This window comes from Homo sapiens, chromosome 15 (assembly GCF_000001405.40).
Source record: "Homo sapiens chromosome 15, GRCh38.p14 Primary Assembly".
Taxonomy (NCBI): Eukaryota; Metazoa; Chordata; class Mammalia; order Primates; family Hominidae; genus Homo; species Homo sapiens.
In genome coordinates, this window is record NC_000015.10 from 39,466,200 (window position 1) to 39,492,937 (window position 26,738).

Below are 26,738 nucleotides of genomic sequence, written 5' to 3' on the forward strand. Positions count from 1 at the left end.
ATGGGCCAAAGATGCTGCAGGCTGGAGCTATTTTTCCCACCTCTTTGATGCCTGCCCGTGTTTTCAGTGAACAGAGTTTAGAGAAATTATTTGCCAAATAATATCAGGCTCAACTACTCTGTCCCTCAGGGTTCCTTCAAACAGAGGAGCTCAAACCCTCAGCATTGTGTCCCTGCAGCCAGCATTCTCAAGGGAAGAGATCATCTTCACTTAACTGCCAATGACAAGGGGCTTAGTTTCTAATTTTTAATCTTTTCCAAATGTCTTGTTAAAATTAAACCATAAACTAAAGAAATCCCTCCCCAGATTAGGAAACCAAATGGGAAATGTGGCCATTTGGCATGAAACTGTCAAACATTTTCAGCACACATACATCCCAACCCATTGGATGAGACAGCCTGCGTCACAGGCCAAGAGGCCGTGGCCCCACACATATCTCTGCAACTGCATTCAGAAGCCCTGACCTTGGGCCACTGCTCAGGCCTCCATCCTCACAGACGCTCTGAGGCGGCAGCTGGAAGGGTCAGGCCCAGTCATGCTCTGGATGGGCCATGTCTCTGCGACTGCAGCTTTCAGAGCCACCTCTAGGCCTGGCTCAATTTTAGGGCCACAGGAGACTCGCTCTCTCTGCTCCAGAATCTGTCTTCAGAGTAAAGCCCGAATTTTAAATTGGGCTTTGTTAGGGAAGCAGCAGAAATAAGTCTCGAATGAAAGAAGAAACAGGTCCTCTGAGGAGAATCTCAAATCATTAATCCTGGGGAAATGAAGCTAGAAAATGATTCCAGAAATATTACGAATCCTAGGCTTATTCAAGTTGTTTATTTCATAGCAGAAAAAGATGCTGCTCAGGCAAAATTCTAAATTCAGCTGCTTTTCCTCCCTCATCTGATTCTCTTGCCTCCTTCCCTGGGCCTGGGCCTGGGCCTCTGTGTGTCCTGGTCCCAGGTCCTCGCTTCCCATCTGCTCTTTCCTACCTTCTTTGGAAAGACTAAAGTGCCTGGCCTACACAGAAGCGCTGAGTTCAAATGGTGACTCTAAAGCTAAGATCCTCATAACCCGAAGGATTGAATGACAAACAATGGCATTTCCAGCACCAAAACAGGGGTCAGGACAGACATTTGGTTTAGAAAGCCACCTTTACTCCTAACTCTACCCTCCTGTTCCTGCTCCCAGAGCCCCCCTGCTGGGGGATGTGACCCACAACAGCCCCCTCCCCAGCCTGGTCCCTAAGAAATGCACATGGCACAAGTCAGCAGGCCAGCTGGCCATCCCAATCAGGGAGCAAACCAGAGGCCTAAACTAGAGCAGGGATTTCTAACATAGAGTGCCAGACCTCATGGGATCCATGGATGGAACTGAGGAGGGCTACAAACCCGGATGAAAAAAAATATCTAGGCCAGGTGCGATGGCTCACGCCTGTAATCCCAGCACTTTGGGAGGCCGAGGTGCGCAGATCACCTGAGGTCAGGAATTTGACACCAGCTTGGCCTACATGGTGAAACCCCATCTCTACTAAAAATACAAAAATTAGCCAGGGGTGGTGGTGTGTACCTGTAGTCCCAGCTACTTGGGAGACAGAGGCAGGAAAATCACTTGAACCTAGGAGGCTGAGGCAGGAGAATCGCTTGAAGCTAGAAGGCGGAGGTTGCAGTTAGCCAAGATCACACCACTGCACTCCAGCCTAGGCAACAAAGTGAGACTCTGTCTCAAAATAATAATATCTATTACACTTTTTTCCCCACTAATGTCTACCTGAAATTTAGCATTTCTCTTTCCATGATGAGCGTAGGCGTGCACCTTAGTAGTATTAGTAGTCCTTGTGACTTTATCACCAATAAAAATTATAGGTATTTTCACATTACATTACAGTTGCCACAGAAATTTCCAGATATCATGTTTCTGTATCATTATTTTGAAATTAGAATAGTTACAAGATCCACTGAAAGATCTTGCTATTTCATGCATTAATGAAGAGGTACTTATATTACATATTACATTTTTTAATTTCAACAACTATATTTCAATAAAATTATTATTTGTAATGCTATGTACATTATTTTAATGTTTTTAAAAATCTTTCTAAGTAGGCCACTATAGACCTCTCCAACATCAGAGAGTCCACAGCACAAAGAAGATTAAGAACCTTTCAATTACAGGTATATATGGATTTACTTATCTCCCGACCTTCACCATTGGGCCGCATAATCCCCACTGGTAGAGTCAAACCTGCCTTAAACATGTTCCAAAGGAAAGAAGAGAAGTTCAAGAGTTCATCAGTGCAGCACAAGTTGATCTTGTTGCAAGTTCCGTTTTTGCCTTGAATTATGGATTTCCTGTAACTGGATTGCTGCCTGGTCCCACAGTTCCTCTGTGACTCAGACCTTGCCTTGTACCCCAGCCTCTGGGCCCCTTCTCTGAGAAACCTAAAAGACGTCCCATAAGTTCATATTTCCAAGGTTTCTAGCTCAATGAATTGGGAGATGTTTGTGCTGACCCTGTTTTCTTCTACAGAAAGCCCTAATGCTGAATGGCCGCCAGGAGACAGTTCATGAGATATTGCAGGTTGAATTATACATAAAATGAGAGCAGTCCCTTCCTGTGCAAAACCCCAATCTCCATTCCATCAGGAAGAATTTTTTAGTTGATCACGTTCACAGGAGCACTGGTCTTCACCACATTTAGTCCAAGGCTCCCAAAGGCACTGGAGTTGTGTGCAGTAGAGGAGCTAATGAGACGCCATGTCTTCTTTCTCAACGTATGCTTGAGAAATGGATTAATGTAATTCCTAGAGGGCAAGACTAGAAGAGCTGTAAAATGACCTCATTTCTTTTTTAAATGTGAATGTGGCCCTCAATGATCAAGACTGAGAATATTACAAAATCAACCATAAGCATACCACAGAAGAAAAGGAAACTAAATAACTCTGTGACCAGATAAACAATCTGGAACTTAAAACAACAAAAAGAGTTGTCCACCAAGGAAAAGTTCTTGCTTTCCAAATATGAAGATTTTCTTCTGAGGAACCACCAGTTTGGAAGGGCTTACCTATAAAAAAACTAAGGCTTCTTCTCACCACCATTTTATTAAAGCTGTGAAGAGCCTTGAGGAAATATGGGGCCTGGATGAAGACAAAGGGAGAATATTCAAGTATAATGCTCAACACAAGACCTGTTCAAGTCACAAAGAAGACTTCTCAGACCTTCAGTCCTCCCTGATACCTTCTCCAGATGTCACACTGTCGCCAGGTTAATGTACTTGAGTATTGAGAAATAAGAAAACGTGCATTGCTTTTATTTACTTCACTGTAAAAAAATTAGCTCACATTGTAATAGAAATGGCTCTAAGTTCTTTCCTATAGAGCCCATACAGATATTAAGACTTCAAGCCATGCTAACACTTAAAACCTGGGGGTTACTACAGAGTTACTTGATTTATTTCCATGGGCATACTAAAATTAGTCAATATAGAATTAGAACACACCATGCTAGACATTTTGGACTTACATGAGGTCCCTCCTTAGCTCCCACTTCCTCAGTAATGTTGATCCTACAAAGAAACCATTTCTAAATTCATCTTTAAACAACATGCTATCAAATACTACTGAAATGAGGTTTGGGCTCCTCGGAGTAGTACATTTCCTTGGTTTTCATCTTCTCCACAGGGGCTACTTACATGGAAACCAAATTGTTTCCCCAGAGATAGCCCCTTTTCTTTTCTCCAAGTACCACACTGTTGAATATGGCTGGGGTAGGGAACATTAAATGTAGCGAAACATGGTAATGAATTAACCCTTCATCCTGAAGGGTTTCCAGGAAATAAACATGAATTCAGCCATGAAAAAAAAGAGTATAAAAGTCAATTATATTTCAATGGCTTCCAAATAATAAAATATATTTTTAAGAACAAGTCAAACCTAACATGATGGCTCACACCTGCAATCCTAGTGACCCAAGAGGTTGAGGTAAGAGGATACCTCTGGCTTCTCCTAAACTTAGAAAATAAGTAGATTAAGGAAAAGAAGGAAATAACTAAATCTGCTCTCCCATGTGGCCTTCTAGCTCCTGCCCTATCTTTTTACCCTCACATGCTCATCTACTGGTCCACCTCCCACTCACTCATCAGCCCACTGGCATCTGACCTCTATCACTACTACTTCACCTAAAGCACCATTGCCAGGATGCACATGGTCCCTTTATGTAGAGTCCACAGGAGACTTCAGTCAGTATCTTACTGGATCTCTATCCTGCATTACACACATCCTTGAAACCCTGTCTTCTCCGTTATCCAGCACTCCACATCTCCCCATTCTTCCCCTCCTTCTCTGGTTGCTCCTTCTGTCTCCTCCAGCTGTTTCTCTCCCCTTGCCCAGCTTTGAGGTGCTGCATTCCTCAGAGATCTTGTTCCACTTCTTATTCACCTCTTGGTGGGTGAATCACATCACGTAAATTACCAACTCTATGTTGACAACTTCCAAATCTCTATTTACAGGCGGTATTTCTGCAGTTTCAAATCTGAATATCCAACCATGTAGTCAACATCTCCACTTGGTTTCACAGACATCTCAGGCTCAGCATGTCCAGAGTGAATTTACTCTTTCCCCTAAGCCTGCTCCTCTCCTTGTACCCCCTGTCCTTCTATGCTCCTCAGTAAATGGCACCACCATATAACTGGTTGCTCAAATTAGAAAAATTGACGCCATCCATGTCTTCTTTCTGTTCTTCAGTCTATCTAGCCAATAAATTACCAGGTCCTACTGATTCTATCTGCTAAATAATATTTTTGATCCATCACTTCTTTCTATTCGCCTTGCAAAGTGAGACCACCATCATCTCCACTGATTTATGGCAATGAACTCCAAATCTCTTCCCAGTGTCCAGACTTAAGGCCCTCCAACCGTTCTCTACATTGCCACCAGATTAATCTTTCAGAAATGAAGTGCTGACCTTCCCCTAAATAAACACATTCTAAACCCTTCATATATAGCCAAGGACAATGGCTCAAAACTGTAACCCCAGCACTTCGAGAGGCTGAGATAGAATGATTGCTTGAGGCCAGGAGTGCAAGACAAGCCTAGGCAACATAGCAAGACCCCATCTTGACCAGAAAAAAAATTAATTAGGCAGGCATGGCAGTGCACACCTATAGTCTTAGCTTTGAGAGGCCAAGACAGGAGGACCCCTTGAATCCAGGAGGTTGAGGCTTCAGTAAGCTATGATCATGACACTGCCTTCCAGCCTGAGTGGCAGAGCAAGATCCTGTCTTAAAAAAAAAGAATCTTTCATATCTTCCCCAGTGCTAGAAGCTCAACACATCAATAGCTAAAAGAAGTTACAAGGCAAATTTACAAAGTTTCTGCCAGGTGGGATTTGTTTTTGTTTTCAATATATTGCTTGGGTTCCGTTTTATGATTATCAGACATCAAGCCTTTTACTACTAAAAAGCTGATGACCAATATTTTGTCATAGATCTTTTTAAGGAAAACAACAACATATTTTCTCACTATACCAAAGAAGGTCTGTCATAAACTCTATTCAGAAACAACATGAATACTATAGTAATAGGGAAATATTCCAAGAGTTGGAGAAAAAGTATTTCTCTCCCAGACCTCTAAAACTAAGATTCAGAATTATTTCTGTCTTCAGATCTTAGACATTAGTGAGAACAAGAAGCAATGTCTCTTAACTGTGCATGCTGCCAGCTGATGGCTGAAAAGGAAAAGATTTAGGCCTGTCCCTATGGATATCATCAGAGAATCCAGTTCAGACATTCCCAGGCAGCGTGCAAGCATGGAGGTTTGAGGACTAGCTTACAGGCATGTGGTCTTGGACCAACCTCAGAAGCAAATTATTTATCAAAGTAAAGCACATTAGGATGACCATAGTTAACAATAATTTACTGTGTATTTCAAAATAACTGAAAGAATTAGAATGTTTCCAACACAAAGGAATGATAAATGTTTGATGTGAGAGATATCCCAATTACCTTGATTTGATCATTACATGTTGTATGCTTATATCAAAATATCACATGTACCCCATAAATATGTACAACAATTATGTATCCATGACTACAAATAAAAAAAAATCTAAAGAAAGGAATCTTTAGCTATCTCAACATCAAAAAGAAAAAAGCTGAGGTTTTCAAGAATGTGTGCACACGTGCAGTGTGTATGTGCATGTTTGTGATTTATTGAGGGCTAAAAAGAGAGCTGATATTCCCTCTATATACACTAAACTTATAACCACTCTCACCTCTAACCTAGGACCAACACTACACAACACACACACATCCCACTCATATATTCATACAAAGTGTACTGAGTCCATCTGATGAACTAATCTAATGATAGATTTGATATCTAATCCTCACAACTACATTGCAAGGTATATACTATTTTCTCTACTTTATAGAAGATGAAACTGAGCCCCTGAAGGCCTAAGGTCCGGCAACATGTAATAAAAGGAAGCTAGAATTGGAACCCTGGTGTGTTCAATTCCGAAACCAGCCCTTCTTCCACTACTCCTTCCTCAAAAGGCCTTCTAAGTCGTCACTCTCCTAGCACTGGTTACAAGAAATGTCGGTGGGAGTGGTTGTTTTACGATAAACCACTCTGATAAAAAAAATGCTCCAATGATTATTTTTGAGATGTCAGAGCTGAAAATGTACAGATTTCACTGGACGAAGAACCTGCCAAGTGGTGATTGCACAACCAAAGCACTGCAAGGAACCAAGGAGGCCAAATGTGTGTTGGAAAAATCACAGATGTCATCTGGGAATGCTCAGAGCCTTGGGCTTTCACGCTGAGACAGACTCGCTTCCACCGGAACCTCAGCCTTTTAAGGCTAAATCAAGGCCGTGACTTCCTCAGCTGAATCAACCTGACACTGTTCCCTGAGCTCACTGGGATCCTATTGGCAGAGCGTCAGCCCCGTCATGGAAAGAATGCCTCCACCAGGGAGGACTGGGTTAGTCCCCATCCTGAACTGGATCATAAACACCCACCTTGTCATAAAGCTGCTGTGAGTCTTACAATGGGAAGATGGGGGAGGCAGCACACTGGGGTCAGGAGTGGAGATACTTAGGCTCCCCAGAGAAATTAGTCACAAGTCTTATCCCTTCATCTCCATTTACAGCCATTTATTTGGGAGCAACATACTTTAAATGAGTGATAAACAAAATGTCTCCCCACAGCCCCCACCCCAGCATGTGTTCTGAAGTTCACAGGAAGGCTTCTCCTCATTTGCTTTGGGGCCCGCAGGCTGCCTGCTAACAGCTGGGTCTTCCCATGAACAAATTAGACAGTTAATGTTCCAGGATGAAGAGGGCTTCGGGGAACAGAATCTGCCGTTTATTTGACTTGCTTCATTAGACACAGTGCCATCATACCAAAATTAGAAAAAAGAAGGAACTCAGCGGAAATCAGCTACACAAGAAGAACCTCTCAGTTCTGAGAATTCACATTAACCAGTGATTAAGAAATATTAAAAAGGTATGAGCCTGTGAAGTTGAACATACAAGAATGCTTTAGAAAATGGAATGTTCACACTGTTGCCAAGTGACGTTCCTTCTAAGTATTGATTACTCTCTACAGATTATGGAAAATATTTGTCTGAGCTCTTATTTCAACTGCTCCATTCTCAGCTAGTGAGGAGAGTAAGATGTAGTGAGGCATGTGTTCAGAACTTTCTCCCAGAGGTAAATTACTGATGCATGACTTTTAAGGTGCTAGGAGAGGTAAGGAAACTTTTATAAAGGTCCCAGTGGCCTTCTAAGAGGAAAGGGACGGCAAGTGTTTAATGGAAAGTCATCAGGGTAGATTTAGGTGACCCCAGTCAAGGCCCAAGAAGGAACTACTGGCTTCTTTAAAAACAACAACAATAACAACCATAATATCATAGGTAGAAAGAGATTGGACTAGAGGGCAGGCCTGTACACCAAGACGGACCTCTGAGAATGAGTAGTAAGTGGTTCTGATTCTCTGAGGCCAAAACTGTCAGGACTGGTACTGACCCAGCCCTACTGGACACAAGTTTGCTCCCTAGAGAAGGGAGATATAGGGGAACCAAATGCAACACAGGCCAACTTTTGAAAGCTGCATTCTTGGGTCAGGAAATAGGGAAGAACTACTGTGGCTAGGGGGCTGCTGAGAAAAGGTGCTCTGCTACCCCTCCCTCCATTGCCATGAAGGGTTAACCCATTTAATTTGCATTTTCCTGAGTAAGAGGCTTGACACCAGCTCTCCCACTTGGCAGCCTGGTATTGCATTGTAAAGCAACCAGCTTCAGGGATGTTTATGGCATCTTCTAGCTTCATGGAGTGTGGTAGCCATGAAAATAAGCCACATAGACTTCCTCCTATAGAAGGTAGAATTAATCCAGGGTCCCAACTGCTGTATTTTAAGTCTGTTGCTGTGTTTGTACCTTGACCTCACTTTCCAAGGCTGCTGCTGGCCAATGATGTGGTATTGTGAGGGGACCCCCTCCTCTGAGAAGCTGGGCTCCTTCTTTAGCTGACTCTGGCACACGGACTCCCCAGTGGCTTTGCTGGAGCTTCCTTCCACTGAGCGGCAGTCTAGCATTCTAAGTTTCCACCCAGTCTTCTCTCAGTCTCCCCTTCACTCAGGGTCAGGCTAACACTGTGATCTGACTGCTAGCCCGGCCTTCTCCACCTCCCTTGCTGTGTCATTTCACATAGGCATTTCCCCTAATAAATTCCTGGAATACTTACTAGTATCTTGATATCTGCTTTGGAGGACCCTAACAAGGCAGAATGGTTGAACTGTGTCTGCTGGGGCAAAGAGGAAGAGGCTCAGATTATTCCCTAGATATAAATTAGTACTCCTGAAGGTTTCTTAAGATTATCATAAGTATGGAAGCCAGAGAGCACTGTAGAGGAGTTCAAGTTGATTAATTGCATCTGTGATATACATATATATGTGTGTGTGTGTGTATATAGTATATATATGTGTGTGTTTATGTATTTTTATATGTATGTTTATATGTGTGTGTTTGTGTATATGTGTGTTTGTGTATATGTGTGTGTGTATATATATATTTTATATATATGTATATATAAATAGAGAGAGTGTCCACTATACAAGTCTAGACCAGAAAGGAAACATCAAGTGAAAGGCCTACTCCCATAGCAGGAGGAAAAATGGGAGCAGATAACACATACCTGGAAGCAGGCTAATGTCTTAGCCATGGTGATCTCCTAAATGCAATGGGCATCCATTCATAGTATCCCCCTGTGACCTACAAGCACTGCTTGATTTCTATATGTGGTGAGAGTTGAGGAATTTCCTCCAGATCCCGTTGGCTGGATCCTACACTTCCAGTGGCCTGAAAAAGTTCTCCAGATGCTGCTGCATTGACCACTAGTCCTTGAGCCTTGCACATTCTGCCTGGCTCAACTAGGAGTAGAATGAGATAGTTCTTCTAGAGAGAAAGACAATCTCAGAGATACTCACTTTCCACTAAGTGCCCCATTTACATATAACTGATAACATAAATTTTAATCCATCAGGTATTCATCATGGGCAAAGCATTTTACGTTCATTCATTTCATTCATCCATTTACTCATTCAACTCATTTATTGAGCTTCTACTACATGCCAGCAGTCCCCAAGGAGCTATACATAGAGCAGCAAACAAGGCTGAAACAACCTAGTTCTTATGAAAGTTTATATTCTACTGGGGAAGAAAACAGAAAGAAAAAAAAAGCACACAGAGATATATGTTTTGGGTAATGATATATACTGTAAAGAAAACTAAAACAGCAGAGTAAGGTGCTAGGAAGTTATGGGCAGACAGGGAGAGTCTATTTTATGAAGAATAGGCAGGGAAAGCCCTTCTGAGGAAGAAATACTAGCAGAGATCTAAAGGAATTGAGGAGTTCGCTGTGTAATAGTCAAAGCTGTGAACAGTGCATTTAATCTCCTTTAATCGACACAACAAATCCATGAAGCAGAAGGCATCTTCCTCCTATTATGAAGAACTTGAAAATCAGAAAGTTTAGACATTCAACTGGATCTCAAGCAGAAGCTCATGTTGTTAACCATTATGCCTTGCCATCACGGTGGATTCCAGAATTTTCCCACTTTCTAAAATCAAAGAGAAAACCTGGCTTCTGTTTTTGCTGGCACCCTTTGTGGCCTTTCCGATTTACTCGTTGGGGTGCAGAGGAGCCACTTAACAGGCGACAAAGAGCTAGCTGTGCTAGAAAAGCTCTATCCCCCCTTTCCCACCCACAACACACACCTACATCTAAGACAGCCTGGTCTCCAGCAATGTCTACGGGCTTCCTTTGAAGCAATGCAAAGACCCTCTGCCTCTCCTCTTTAGGAGGCTGGCATTGCCTGGGGGCCTTAATTCCTGAGCAGTGTACGCTGGGACCAAGACCTTGAAGAAACTGGCCAGGTCTTGTTTCTTGAAAGGGTATTCGCTGCATAAACGGGCAAGGAAATGTTCAGGTAGAACAAATAGTGGAGTCTTGCTTGGGCTTATACATGGAAACTTATGAAGCTGTCAGCAACATGTGTGAAAATAACAAACTGATTAAAGCTTGTAATGGAAAGATGAGCCACCAGTAGCTTCCACGATCATAAAATATGAACTCAAAAATAACTGCTGAGTGCTCTTAATTTTACAAATTTTTTAAACAGTCCTTGACACATAGTAAGCCCTCAAAATGAAAGCTATTCTTATTATTGCAATCATCAATAATTATCATTATCATCATAACTCCCTTTCCTATCCCAAAATACTGGTGGTTAGGGTAAGAGAGTGACAAAAGGGACCTTTAGGGACCTCAGGAAGTTGTATATTTCCCTGTAATGGTTAACTAGCCTGGACAGAGGTCCCAGCGGGGAAGCTCTAAAACCAGCCTTCAGCAAGAAAATTTGTGACTTACTAAACCCATAGATATTTATGTTGTTCCTGCTGCAAAAATGTCCATTTCTCCTGGGTAATAACTAAGTCCCATAAATAGATTCTAAACTTCTACCAGTTCACCAAAAATAAACTAGTAGGACTTGTAGACATGCCACTAGCTCTATTGCATCATATGATTTTTGTCTTCTTCCCATTACATGCTTTATTTAAACCCCAGTCAAATCCAGAGGCCCAGGCAATATTAAAAGATCCAAAGCCTCTGTACCCATGGTTTCCTGAGCCCTGAGTCCTCTTATTCTGTTACCGATAACTTTGGGGGTTGATTTTTTTTTTTTCCTGAGCAGACATTTTTGTTTCACTAGCACCATTTCTGCCATGTGATTTAAATATCTGTTTCACTGAGTTTTGTGATAACTGTATGGTTGTCTTCAGGATGGTAAACATGTTTGCATAACAGTCATCTAAACTGAGAACTGACATAGCTCCCTGAGGACAGAGATATTCCTGATTAAATCAACCCTAGAGAATTCCAACAGCAATAGGGTTTGGAAATCATATTTCTACTCACTTTTCCACTCAACCAATGGGGCAATTTTTTATATACAAGTTGGAATTTACATCTGATAAGGATTTGATACACCTTCCTTTTCTTCCCTATTCTCTAGGGCTGATAGTCCACTACGTTATCAAGTTCAAAGCCTAAGAAATATTGAACATTTCCACACATGAATGTGGGTACTATGTTTAATTTGAGAATGGCCAACTGTCCTCGAAGTCTCAATCTCTTTGGAGCCTACCAGCTCCGAGAGAAGTTTGAGGATGCTGCAAAACCCTCCCCTGCAAATCCATCTACTCCTCCCACTTCTATCCTAATGGGTTTGTATTGACCAAGTCTTCTCAGTTATGTATTACGTACTTGATAACGGATTACAGAATAGCCAGGCACTGATCAAAAATCCTCCTAGAGTTTAAAAGGTGGAATATATATATATAGCAGGCAAAATAGTGGTTTATCAGGCAGCTACAATAAGCTGTTATATTTTCAGATTGTGCTTCGTTTGTTGGACTGCATTGTATTTTCCCTCTTTTGTGAAAAGGTAAATAACCTAGGCATGCAGGAATTAACTTGTTAACAAGGAACAAGAGAAGAAATCCACACAAAGCAACCAGGTCACTGAGAAGTCGAGACCCTTTCCTCTTGGTGTTCTCCCACCATTCTCATTAACCCAAACTGCAGTGTTTTCCTTTCTCCTGGCCCTAAGGTCCAGTGTTTCTGACCTTGTCTTAGAAATCCCTTCTCAGCCCACAACCTCAGTTAAGAGTTATAATCTCTCATGGTTGGCAGGGAGAGTAAAGGTGATGTAGTTCAAGTCCTCACCTCCCAGTACCAGAAGTCGCTCTTCAGTATCTTTGACCAAAGTCATCTAAGTCTTTCCAAGTCCTTCTATGATAGATGGCTGAGCACCACCAGTTAACAGGAACGCCCTCCTTAGGTTGAGTCAAATCTCCCTCTCTGAAAGTTTCATCCATTTGCCATCATCCTGCCTTCTCTTTTCCTTTCTACTCTTCTTGCTTCCACTACCTGAACTCACGCACTGCATTCCCACCAAACTCCCACTGTTCAGTGTAGAGACTACAGATATGTGATGCATTAGCCTCTTGGTTTGCACCCTCTGGAGGCTAAGTTCTCAGTATCTGTCTTATGTGATGCCTATGGCTGGGGACATGATTCTGGATATGGTCTTACAGTGCAGAGTACAATGGGGCCATTTTCTCTCATGATCAGGACAATACCACTTGGTCTATATCTATAGCCCAGGAAAACATTAATGTTTACTAGCTTATTTGCAAGGCTAACAGATGTTGGGATAATGGCCATTTTTCACAAGAATTCTTATCAAGCAAACTCTCCCCGTGTGTTGATGGCTGTTTACTCACGATGGTCTATGTAAGGGAACCATTAAGAGTTTAAAAAAAAAAAAAACTTATAATAAGACTCTATAATGAGAAAGTTCACTGTGTATTTTTTATCATTTCTGCTACTATACATAGTCATATAAATATTTGTTCTTAGGAGCTTTCTAAAACACAGCCTTAACTTTCAGTTTTGGTTTCCACTCCCAGGTATAGTTCTTGGCTGTGCTGAGGATCTGTAAGGCACCAGATGTGAAAGTAAGGAAGAAAGATGGATGTGGAAGAAAGTCACTGCCCAGAGAATAAGGAGACCTGGATTCTAATCTCAGCTCTGCCATTAACTAGCTGTGAGACTCAAGAATAACTAATCATTTTGATAACTCGTTTTTTTACTTTTTAAAATGAGGAGCCAAGTTTAGACAATGAGCTCGGCTCTTCACCAGTGATAAAGTGTCTGGGACATGCTTCCATTCAAGCAATGCTCTTCCTTCTTGGTAAGACAGTGAGATCCCCATGATGGAGCCAGTGTAGTATTGCCCAGTAGGCAGGGAGATGAAGAGCCCTGGAATCCCCTTTAATCAATGGCCCTTAGCTCAGAGACCATTTCTGCACCAGGCTGGAGGGAAGAAGCCCTTCTCTCAGGTTCTTGCCGAGGCCTGCTATTTAAAACAGATGGCACACACGGGCAGTCCATTCCCACACCCCTTCCACTCTCTAAGCACTTTGAATATATTAAAACCTTTTCTTACCTCTCAGTTCCAATTTGGTACTCAAGCCCATGTGAACACTAAAGCCATTAACCCAAAACTTTTCCTTGCTGCTTCTTCTCGTATTAAAAAATAATCTTTATTTTTCTTATCACTTAAGATATGCACATTTAATGTTAATATATATATACATAAAAAATGAAGATATGCTGCTAACACCCCATTTGGACATCATGAGATTTTGGTGTCTATTATTTCAGAATTGTGTGTGTGTGCATGCATGTGTGCATGTAACACATGCATGTACATTGTTAAAATTAGGCCACACTGTGATGTTTTGTGGTCTGCTTTTTCAGTTAGCAATGTGTCATGACCACTTTGCCATCCTATTACGTAGTCAATTGCATGAATCACCCATGATGGTTTCAACTGGGTCTGTGTTGTTGGACATTGCAGCTGCTTTTCTAGAGGCTGCTCTTGGATTGGTCACTGCACCTCTTTGTTCGCCTTGCAGATTCTGGCAGGTTTGCACATTATGATCATAAAAGCCAAATGTTAGAACTGAAAGAGGGTCTACCTTACACATCACCTTGTTCAAATCCTCTCTTTTCTTTTTCAGTCTATACTTTATCCAAGAAAGAATAAATCATTTCCAAATATTTTCAAAGGTAATAGAAATCCAAAAGCCATTGTTTGCTTGATAGAAATGAAAAATATTTGTTGAAGTGTTTGTTCAAAGAGAGACCATGTATAAGATATTTGATGAAAATGCTACTGAACAACAGAACCTGAATCAGTATGTAATTTGAGAGCAATGTATGCTTCCAAACTATTGGCGTAACATATATACTATTGATTAATGCACAGTTATTTGGCCAATTCTAACTACTGTCATCCTCAAAACCTAAGCCAATATGCCCCTCAAGACATCCTTGCTTTTCTTCTCATTTTTTTCCTTTGGTTTGCTTTGCTTTGTTTTCTTAGTTCATCTGAATTACCCTATTCCCTTATTTCTAGAGGTAGAGATTTGGGCAAGTTAATTATTTAAGTTGTTTGAATACAGTATTTTACTTCCATTAACATAATAACTCTAAAAAATAAGAAAAATAGAGGAAGTACTTACAAAATTTTAAATAGACCTTATACTTATTAAACAATTCTATGTTTCTGTTAATAAAAATTGCATAGTGGTTACAAGGTGGATATAGGAATTGCAAAATGTACAAAATCCTGCAACCCTTCTCTTTTTGCACAGATGAAACTATGGCTCAAAAGGGAATAAGAGATCAAGGCAAGCATGGACATCTTGTACGTGGAAGTGCAGACCAGAACTTGTATCACAGCCAGTCATATCTGGTGCTTTCCATGCTACTTTTACATACATGTATCCTTAAATTTGATCCTCTTCTAGTTTAGTCTAAACTCTTTACTTTGTAACTTCCAAACCTAAAAGGTGCAGCAGACATTGACAATCTTAATTCATTTGTCAGGTCATTTGGTTTCTTGGTTTCCTAAGGGACTGTATCCTTCCTGCCCTGCTAATGGGGAGACTTTTTGTTTTTTGTTTTCTGTTTTCCTTAATAAGTGAGGCCAAGTGCTGTGTGTAACTGTGGGGTGGGCAAAATTAGGATTCCTGAATCACTTCACTTTTTGTTGCCTTTCTCTTGGGAGAATGGTTACCATTGCAGAGAAGCATAGTTAAAATTGCTTTTGTGTTTCATAAACGAATTCATACTTAGATGTCATTGACCAACAACTAAATAGTATATCAGAGATGAAAGGCATCCTAGAGATGACCAAATCAAGCTCTTCATTACTCAAAGGAGAAAAAAATCCAGAAAGTGGATGACATATGTTGAACTAGTGATGGAAGTAGAACAGGGTAGTGTATTTTCTGCCTCTTAATTCTTCATTTTTTACACTAAACCAGATATTAGGTATATGACTAGGAAGATACGTGAGGTAAGGAGCAGAGGGTTTGGCTCCAAACTCATCATGTAGTCATCCTCCTCCAAGCTCTGAGAGCTTCTCTCACATGTTAATTCAGAGGCAGTAACAAAAGAATTAATGCTCCTGAAGGTTTCTCAATTTTATCATCTGGAAAGTGGAGTGAACCTTTGCAGAGTCCTTCTGAAGAGGGCTGACCTTGGACTGCACTAGGTTATATTCATTTGCTATTACTCAGCAATAAAAAGTAAATGCAACAATATAAATGAATCTTAAAAACATAATATGGAAAGAAAGCAGCCAGACACAAAAGAATACCTCCTGTTTGGTTTCATTACCATAAAACCTAGAACAGACAAATGAATATACTATGATTTTAAAAAGATCATTATGATCAGAAAGCACTTGCCTGTTACAGGAAGGAGATGGGGATTGACTGGAAAGGGGCATGAGAAAACTGTATGAAATATTATATATGGTTTATATCTTGTTTGGGGGTGGATACATAGCTGTGTATAATTGTCAACAGTCATTGAACTGAGCACTTAAAATCTCTGCATTTTAGTGTATGTAAATTAATTTTTAAAATTATTTTAAAAGAAAAGTAAAAGGATAGAAAAAGATATACCATGAAAACAGCAATCATACAGAGTTGGGGCAGCTATACTAATACTAGATAAAATAGTCTGTAAGACAAAAACTTATTAGAGATGAAGAGGGACATTTTAAGTGATGACAATTTATTCAATAAGGAAGATGTAACAAGAATAACAAGTATGTATGTACCTAATAACAAAATCCCAAAATACGTAAAGCAACAACTGACAAAATTGAAGGGAAAGATAGACAATTCAACAATAATAGTTGAGGACTGGAATACCTCACTTCCAACAATAAAGAGAAAAACTGGGCAGAAAACCAACTGGGATACAGAGACTTGAAAAACATTGTAAACCAAGTAGAATCAACACACATCTATAGAAAACTCCACCCAACAACAGCAGAAAATACATTCTTCTGAAGTGCATACGGAACATTCCACAGAAATATATGATGTGCTAGGCCATAAAATAAGCCACAATAGATAATAAAAGACTGAAATCATGTAAATTAGGCTCTATGCCCACAGATTTAGAAATCAATAACTAAAAGAAATGTGGGGAATACACAAATATGTGGAAATTAAGCAACACGTTCATAAATAACCAATAGGTCAAGGGAAAAAAATATCACAAGGAAAATTAGAAGATACTTGAGATGAATGAAAATAAAAATACAGCATACAAAAAAAACCATGGGAGGAAGTTAAAGCAGCATTAGAGCTAAATTTATAGCAATAAATGCTTATTTCTTTAAAAAATATCTCTAATAATCTAACCTTTCAATTTATGAAACTATAAAAGAACAAATGAAACTGAAAGCAAGCAAAAAGGAGAAAATAATAAAATTTCAGTAGAAATAAATGAAATAAAAAATAAAATACATAAAGCAACAGTTGGTTCTTGAACAAAATTGACAAATCTTTAGCGAAACTTTAGCAAAAAAGAAGGAGGACTCAAATTACTCACATCAGGCAAGAAAGAAGAAACTTGACTACTAACTTTACAGATAAAAAGAATTCAAGGGGGATAAAACGTAAAAAAAAAAAACCTCTATTGCTAACAAATTAAATAAACTATATGATATGGACAAATCCCTAGAAAGACACAAATTATTGAAACTAACTCAAGAAATAGAAAATCTAAATAGACCTATAACAGGTAAAAAGATTGAATTAGTAAATAAAAACTTCCCACAAAGAAAGATTCAGGCCTAGATGGCTTCCACTGGTAAATTCTCCCAAATATTTAAAGAAGAATTAATACCAATTGTTTATAAACTCTTTTAGAAAATAGAAGAAAGGGGAACTCATTCTATGAGTTCACTATTACCCTGATACCAATGCCAGACAAAGGCATGAGAAAAAGAGAACTGCACACCTTTATGCATCCCTATCCTTTATGAATATAGATGCAAAACTCCAAGATGAATCCTGAAACAAATAAAAAATTGTACCACAACTAAGAAAGATTTCTTCCAAGAATTCAAGATTGGTTTAACATCTGAAAATCAATTTATATAATATGCCACAACAATAAAGAAAAAAATCACAATTACTTCAATAGATGCATAAAATAATGGATAAACTCCAACACTCATGATTAAACAAAAAAAGAAGAAAACGCTTAAACCAGGAACAAAAATTAACTTCCTCAAACTACCAGAAACTTACAGCTAACATCATACTAAATTGTAAAGAATCAAATGGTCTTCTTTCACTCTCAGATGTGAAAATCTCCTATGTAGAAAATCCCAAGGTATCGACAAAAAACAAAAAAAAAAGCTATTAGAACTAATAAATGGGTTCAGCAAGTTTGCTGGATACAAGATCAGTATAGAAAAATCGATTGCATTTCTATATATTAACAATGAAAAACCAAAATAAAATTAAGAAAATTCTATTTATAAATAACATCAAAAGGAATAAAATTTTTAGGAATAGATTTAACAATTTAAGTATAAAATGTATATGCTAAAAACTACAAAACACTGTTGAGTGATACTGAAGATTAAAATAAATGGAAAGATACACCATGCTTATGAATTGGAGGATTTAATATCGTTAAGATGGCAATACTTCCCATATTAATGTACAAACTTAATGCAATTCTTAACAAAACTCTTCTGGTGTTTTTACAGAAATTCACAAGGTGACCCTAACATGTATATAAAAATGCAAGGGATCCAGAATCACTATAACAATCTTGAAAAAGAATAACAAAGTTGATGGATTCACACTTCCCAATTCCAGAACATACTACAAAGCGACAGTAATCATAATGGTGTGGTACTGGTATAGGGATAAACATATTAATCAACAGAATAGAATTAAGAGTCCAGTAAATCCTCACATTTATGTTCAATCGATTTTCAGTAAATAGGCAAGACAATTCAGTGGGCAAAGAATAATCTTTAACAAATAGTGCTGGACAACTGAATATCACATGCAAAAGAATGAATTTGCACCCTGACTTCACAATAGACACAAATTAACTCAAAGTGTATTATAGATCTAAATGTAAGAGCTAAATTACAAAACTCTTTTCAAAACAACTACAAAATTCAATCTTCATGATCTCGGATTAGGGAATGACTCTTCAAATTAGACACCTAAAGCACAGGTGATAAAAGATGGCTAGGTTGGACTTCATCAAAATCAAAAACTTTTCTGCTTCAAGGGATATTTTTAAGAAAGTAAAAAGATAACCCTACAGACTGAGAGAAAAATTTTGAAAATTGCATATTTAGTAAGATACTTACACCCAAAATATATACAGAACTCTTACAACTCAATAAAGACAAACAGCCCATTTTTTTCCATGAGCAAATGATTTAAATAGAAATTTCTCCAAAGAAGACATATGAATGGCCAACCAATAAGCACGTGAAAAATGTCAATATCAATAGCTATCAGGGAAATGCAAATCAAAATCACAAAGAAACCAGGGCAGAGTGCCAGATGCTCCGTACCTTGAAAAGGTTCAAGGAAACTTGAAAGATCAGATGACATTTTTAGTGTAATCTACAAGTCACTCTTCAAATGACTTGAAGATGACTACCTGAATATATACAATAAAAGTTGGAAATATTCATAGATAATATAAAATTGAGACAAAAAAGGTCTAGAAAGACTGCAATGTCAAGATATGTATCATCAATTCCTGTACGCTACAGTTAAATTTTGTTCTGAGTTTTCTGGTGCCAAGAAAATAGGAAAGGGGTGGGCAATACAGTAAGATACAAAGAAAGCTTTTATTTCATGACACTTAATTCTAAAAGAATAATCAGGTGATATGAAGCCAATTTCTACAGATATGGTCTCTGTCCTCCAAGAGCTCATAACTCAGAGAAAAATAAATATGCAAATGATTAAAATCAGTGAGGTAACTGCTATGAAGGACGTATGTACAAGCTATACTGGAGGCATAAGAGAGAGAGTTACCATTCAGATGAGGTGGACTCATGCTCTGATGTGGTAACATATGAGGTAGATTGGGTAGGAAGGTAAGGCCAGTAGAGGGTGGGAGAACATTCCAAGCATCTGCAGAGATTAAAATTACCTAAGACGTTTGAGAAATTGTAAGTGGTCTGATATGGCTGCAGTACTGGATGTGAAGATAAAATTAATGATAGCTGAGGGTGGCAGGAAAGCTGGGATCTTGCCATGTATAGCCTTATATGTCATGCCAAGGACTTTGGACTTTAACCTGTAGGCAAGGGGAACCATTGACTGGCAAGCCCTGAGTAGAGAGTCTAGGCCTTATAATGGGAAGTTAGTTTCCAGAGATAACCTAAAGAATTCCTGCCTTTAGGTTTAATTCCAAAAGGGTAGTAATCCACAACCTAGCACTCCATAACAGTGATTTATATTGGAATTACTCTCCAAATTGGAAGATATGGTTAATCTGGGATTATAGGACGTGTAAGCTCAAAGTAATTTCCATTGTAACTCGTATAGCTTTCTACTCAGCCCATGACATTCCTACCTGGTTCCAGTTCTTGCAATTCAAAGAGAACAGGTCAATGTCAGTGTTAACATGTGGGTATGAAAACAGCAAGTACCCGCATATGAATTGGAACTGGGCTCACTGAAGAAAGCATGTAATTGGAGTGGGAATAAAAGCATCCAACTATTATACTTGTGTGTGTACACACACACATTAGATATACTGCTACAGATATAGATAGATGCCAGGTGTGCTGGTCACTTTGCGAATCTCATCACACTTTACCTTCATGACAATCCAGAAAGGTAAGTACTAATCCCACTTCACAGATCAAGACTATTCTTACTTACAGAAGTTAACAGTGCTCTCTCACTGGCTGGATTGGCATGGATGCCTATTTTTGATAGTATTTCTAATCCTTACCACTGAAAGCATTGGAATGACACTTCATGTATTTTTTTCAGTAGAGAAGTAATAGAAACTATTCCCCTTAAATGGCAGATGTGATATCTCAAGCACAAAAGCTTGGGTGACTCACTCAAGTCAATAACAACTGTAGGACAGGAGCATTTCCAGTTGGCCCCGTATTCCTTCTACTTAGTCTTTTTTGTTCTCATGTAAATACAAAGTCATAAATTTGTGGGGGTTCATATTGGCTTTGTTCCTTTTCCCATCTAGTTACCACAAGAGACCTTTCACTCTCCCTAGTGACACCATTCAACCTCTACATAACCCTACAACAAATACCCACTTCACTACCATATCACATGGCCAGACCAGTGGTCTTTTCCTTTAATGTTACATAGAATAATATTATTTCTCCATCAATTAACTCTGATTGGAATCATGATTATCACTAGTTTTATTCTTCAGGCTTGATAGAGTACCAGCTGTGTCCAACAAATGTAACAACAGTGGCTTCCAGCCAAGTGCAACTGAGGTTTTTACAAGAATAGATACTTCGTGTATTCTAATGACAAAAGCACATAAATGAGGACTAATATTCTGTCTGTGGCAGAGAGAAAATCCTCTTGACTTTGAAGAGGTTCAAAGGCCCACACACACAGAAAACTGAGTGCTCTGTCATGCTATCTGGATCAAGGGACTCCCCCAAGGGGCCGGCATCCCGGCCTTAGAAAGATGTCTGGGCCCTCATCACTGAGGCCTTTGAAACCTTGTACCAGAAACCCCCAGGGGTGCCTCTCCAGCCTGCTCCCCTGGAACTTCTCAGGTACCCATGACACAGCCAGATAACCAGCCAGTTGTCACCTACCATCTAGGACAGTCTCTTACTCCTACCTGTCCATGCATGCTCACTAAACTTGCCCTGCAGCAGAAGTATGAATGACTCTTTATTAAAATAGACAGGAAAAACAATAGTGTCTCATCTCACACCTGCACTAGGAAAAAATCCTCTGTCTTCCTCTCTCCCTTCTGGGCCCACTCCCTCCAAGTCATCTCAGAGCTGCTGCCAGCAGCATGTAAAATATGAATCTGACTTTTTGACCCATCTGATTAAAAACTGAAGTTGGAGCACCTCTGGCAGCAGATTGAAGTCCAAACCCCTTCAAAAAGTATTCAAGGGCCTTCACAACCTGATTTCAACAATATCCTGAACAGTTTTCCCATACACTGGAGCTCTGGCCTTCCCAGGTAACTCACTACCCCCTGAAGATGTTGTACATTTTCATTATATATGATTTTTGTTACTATTCAATTTATCTAGAATACATCACATCCCCTATCTCACCTCACTCACCTGACAAACTCCCAATCATTCTTTGAGAACTAGCTAAAATGTTCTCACCCCTCTAATGCTTTCCCTGACCATCCCAGGCCAAATTAACCAGTCCTTCCTCTGTGACTCTGCCTATTGCACTTATTCTGATTTTCCCAGCTCAACAGATGACAGAGCCAAGACTCAAACCCTGGCCTTCTGACTCCAAGTTCTAAGGTCTTTACTTAACCCCTTGCCTACTGTGCAATATTACAAATGGAATCATGCGTCAATTCTGAATCCCGACTGGCAGGCCAATTGTGGGTAGTCAGTAAACTTACAGTGGATGAATGAATGAACAACAACCTGAAGGAAGCTTCTACTATCCCCACCCACCCCCCACCACACACACACACACACACACACACACACACACACAGAGTTTATTCTTCGAACTGGAATTTGTAAAGACAGCTTGGTTTCCCAGATGCATCCAACTCATCAGGTACTACAAATTCTGTAACCAGGCCCCAATTTAGGGATACTACAACTATGCATCATGTAATCATGTAGGTCCTCCAGTGATACTCATCTTGCTCATTTGGCCATGGATAAAGGAGAAAAGAGAGAGAAGTTCCCTTTCAGCACCCTAACACATCTCTTAATACAGCCTCTAAGTCTTTGAGTCCTCCAGGAGCCAGCAGCCAAGTCCAAACTAAAAGCATCACATGTTGTTTTGGAGAAAGAAGCCAGGGTGTCCACAGTAATATAAATACAGAGACAGATAGGACGAGCAGGCCCTATGGAGAGAGGCCAAGCCTGAGAAAGTCAAAGGGCTTTGAGCTCTGAATTATGCTCTGTCAAAGAAAAAAAAAAGTAGAAGATAAAAGAGAAAGAATAAACAAACTTCTTCATTTTTACTTTTCACAAAAAAGTCTCTTCTGGAAGCAGCAAATAAAATCTTCCCAACTCACTGGGTGCTGAGTAGAGTGTTAAGACACTAGCCCTTGAAGGAAGAATGAATAAGCAATTCAAAGTGGGCTTTTCTGCCCTAGGCTAAATCTGAAATCATCCATTTTGCCAGCAGTATTCTGTCTGCCAACCTACCTGCAAAGAAAGGGGCCATTTAAAACTTCACATCCACCCGAGATGGCTGTTGTACAAAACACACACTCACAGGCTCCCCTCAAAGCCTAGTAAGGAAGAAGGAAGAAGGAAAAAGCAAAGGAAATATCTGGCAGCTCCTAGACTTTAGGAATTCCACAAACAAAGCCATTGCCAACATCTATTTGACAGGATGTATAGAGAGTTCATAAAGTAAGTGTTTATAGAAATTCCAAAATGTTTAAAACTATCTCTTGATTTTTGAAGGTCACTGTAATCTAGTCTATTGGAGAATGCTATTGTAGAGTCTTTGGCTATTGTTACTTATACCTGCATATATGAAATCACCACTCCTAAAAACCACGAATTAGAAGGCTGATTTGTTTAAAGAAATACTGTTGTCCATGATGGAAGAAGGATGCTAACTCACAGAGAGAATGATGCTGCCTGTGGAACAGAGTCGGAGCTGGCTTTTATGGAACCTATTGTCACTTTGATTATACACTGTCTAGGACAGGACTGAGGCCCACATAATACCAAGCATACCACAAATACGTAAGTTCGCTGTTGAGTTTGTTTCTTTTTATTGTTTAAGAAAAAAGAATGCTGGGGTTTGAGTTGTTCTTTTACACCCAGAACACACTACACATCAGAGATGTGCTGACACCGTGCTTTTTCTTTTTTATATAACAAGAAAAAGTGGCATAGAGGGAAAAAGAGGTCAAATTAAACATCAAGGTAGCTAAAAGGAAAATTGTGTCCGCTGCTCTAATATCACAATCCCAAGGAGAACTGCAGACATTTGTCCTCGAGTTCCTCAGGTTGGTAGGCAGAAATTACATTATTTTCCTGAATATTCCTACTGTAAAATAGTCATGGTACTTCCTGCTGGGAGTGCAAAGATGAATAAGAAATGCCTTCTAATCTTAGGGGATTCATTAGGTAAAGTTCATCCAGGTGACCAACTACTGCCCTCATTTTGGCCCCAAGGATTCCTGCCTTCTGTGCATCTTTCTCCACCCTTACATGACTTGATCTGGCATCACCTTGTTAATGCTTCCTTGGATCTATAAACCTGACAATGACCTCTCACCTCTCCCAAGAGGATTTGCATAAATCCAAACACCTATAGGTGGATGTCTTCCCATTGCTTCAAGCATGAACTAAGCCAGGTACCTTCCTTTGTCAGACTTCCACCCATCCAAATGGGCTTCCTTCCAAGTGGCTCCCTTCCCTGCCATACCAGCTCCACTCTTTTAGTCTCCTACTTTTTACTCCTACTTCTCCTTCAGCCTTTTATTTCTATCCTGTCACCAAGTCTTAGCATCTGTCCCATCAGCGATTTTTAGGTCTATTTCAACTTAGATCTATGCCTCACTAACTCACAAAAGAAGAAACTGGCATCTTTGTCCCTTCCAACTAATTTTGCAAGATATGTTTTCCTAACTTTGCAAGATATGTTTTTCTAAAAGCATTCATCATTATTTTCCTGTTTATGAAACTTGATCGATCTCCCTTTTCTCTGTCTTGTCAAACATACACCCTTTCAAAACCCTCTATGGCCTAACCTTTCTCTGGCTATACAATGGTATTTCAACCAATCCCTATCATCCTAGTCTATTCCAATCAGGCTGTTACCATCTCAATGCCTTTGTTCAAACTGTCCTCCACCTCACCAAATCATTGTCCAGGAACATGATTCATTCAGTCAAGTATTCAGCAAGCATCCAATGGACAAGATACACTATGCTGGACACCAGGACACAACAGAGAGCACGACAGGCCCATTTCTTGCCCTCAAGAGTCTTATATCTAGTGCTGCAACAATTAGCCCATCTCCCAAGAAAAACTTTGATCCTTTCCTCATGCTTTATATTTTGAAAACCTTGGTAGAGAAAAAGTTTCTTTTAAAAAAAGAAAAACATTTCTTAACAAGCAAAAGCAATTAAAGTAATGTATTTAAATTTAATGTAAAGTATGTAAATTGAATGAATATTTATGTAAATATGCATGTAAATTTAAAACATTTTCTAATCTGGTTGGAAATGGATTTCCAAAAATAAGTAATAGAAAAGAAACAATAGAATGTTAAACTCCTTTATAGCGTCATCACCCGCCTCCCCCAGGAAGCTTTATAAAACAAAATTATTTTTAAAATTCACCCATTACGGAATTTTCCTTCTTTAAATATCCATGGTCCTTAGTCCAGTGCTTAGTTATACTCTTTTGTTTTGTGTATGATCGCTTTTGCCCTGTGGACACATACGCTCTAAATAGAGACACACAGCTTGGCTCTGTGCTTGTTGTGTAGCCCTGACAATAATAAAGCAACGAGCGAGCTTCACAAATATGCCACAGTGGATATTACGCTCACACATAAAAACAGACCTGTATAATTTAAAACTCAACCTCAGTAATCCAAAAACCCAGTATAGCAGGCTTGAACTTCAACATCCATCAACATTTTCAACTAGAAGAAAATCAGACTCTGTTGAGCCTTCTCGTCAGCCTTTCCTGCCTACAGCCAAGAGGATGACAGGCAAAAAGAACGGGGTGGAAAAGCAAAGGGCAATTCACATGTGAACTAGATTATAGAGCCATTTGTTTCTACCTCTAAATTTTTATCATGCGGGCCTCAAATAAACTTGTCACCAGACATCATGTGGGCTTTTGGACCTAAAACCTCTAGAAGTTTTTGATATGACTCTTAGTTTCTGACACAACTATTTTTAGTGAAATAACATTGCCTCTGCTTCTGTGACATTTCCCAGAACAACAGTTAATCTGAAATCAGACAGAGGGAATTTTATTTTGATCTAAACTTTCGCTCAATGAGAGAGTCAGGGAAAGCCATATCCTGTGTGTTCAAGTCCCATAATAAAAGCTGCGTAATTTAAATGGAGTCAGGTCACACTCTGTTCTTCCTTGAGTCAGCTGCTCACCTAGATTCAAAAATAGGGACCAAAAAAGATAAACTGGCTTGGTTCCTAACTGCTAATGTGGTCTCTAGGAACTGAAAAACCACATGATCCACCCTAACTGAAGCAGAAGATTACAAAAAGCAGGTCCCGCCTTGACCATCGCCTCTGTTTCTAATCCTTTCCCAAAGCTGCCAAGTGCATCCTGGAAGGGCCACTTAAACTCTCTAAGCGAAAGTCAAAATAGAATGGAAAATTCTGGGAACTCTGACTATGCAACACCTTGTTGTCATTCAAAGTTTTCTCTTTAAAAAAAAATTTTATTGCTGCTGTTTAGTCATTTGTATACCTCTACTGTTACAACTAACATGTTTGTCCACTGTTGAGTAAGCCATAGTGCAAACACAGTTTCAAACACCTCACCAACAGTCCAAAATGTTAATCTTGGGGCTTAACAAATGTTAACTACAACCTGGAGATATAGTTCCAATATCCTTATAATTAAATAGTAAAATTATTATGCTCTTTCCCCAGTCATGTCTGCACTATTGTTTCTAAATGTATCCACAGGTTGCCAGTAATGATGTTTCTGGTGATCTGGCTCAGAAGGCTGAGCTGATGAGTGATCACTCAGAAATACTGAATCAGGCAATGGAAATTCTGAATCGGTGGGCTCTGGAGAAGGAACTGAGGGCGAGGTGACTCGGGGCCGGAGGGCTATTATGGACTATGGACAAGCTGAAGGCATGGGAAGCCTGACCAGTAGATAGAGGAATATGAACTTGGTGGACAGGGAAAAGCAGGGACGTCATGAACGAAAGACCACAGACCCTCTGTTCTAGTCCATGGGGCCAGGCTGTGCTCCACTGCCTACTCTTGGATTCCCCAAAGAATGCTTTATGTCCTTATAATAAATCCACCTTTCCATGGACAAAAATGAGTGTGTCTCTGTGTCTTCAAACCTGAGAGCTAAAACCAAAAAACATAACTTA

General features: G+C 39.6%; 2 long non-coding RNA genes across 6 annotated transcripts, besides 1 other annotated feature; both read left to right on the top strand.

Moving 5' to 3' along the window:
- Positions 2,121–3,238: an enhancer, noted in NCBI's record as "amplified fragment containing the chr15:39760520-39761638 (GRCh37) CAGE-defined region". NCBI's record gives its function as "transcribed enhancer in THP-1 monocytes {active_cell/tissue: THP-1}" and the evidence as "EXISTENCE:reporter gene assay evidence [ECO:0000049][PMID:24670763]".
- LOC105370783 (uncharacterized) lies at positions 7,020–15,726 on the top strand. 5 transcript variants are annotated; one of them, NR_188225.1, is made up of 5 exons: positions 7,020–7,489; positions 11,558–11,768; positions 13,017–13,300; positions 14,133–14,181; positions 14,769–15,726. It is a non-coding gene; the product is annotated as an uncharacterized LOC105370783 (long non-coding RNA). The 5 variants fall into 5 exon arrangements; NR_188226.1 differs by having other exon boundaries at positions 13,017–13,153; NR_188224.1 differs by lacking the exon at positions 14,133–14,181.
- A 7,524-nt stretch (positions 15,727–23,250) lies between these two features.
- On the top strand, positions 23,251–26,396 carry LOC124903469 (uncharacterized). The gene is made up of 3 exons (XR_007064595.1): positions 23,251–23,383; positions 23,523–23,649; positions 26,317–26,396. It is a non-coding gene; the product is annotated as an uncharacterized LOC124903469 (long non-coding RNA).
- The last annotated feature ends 342 nt before the right edge of the window (positions 26,397–26,738 follow it).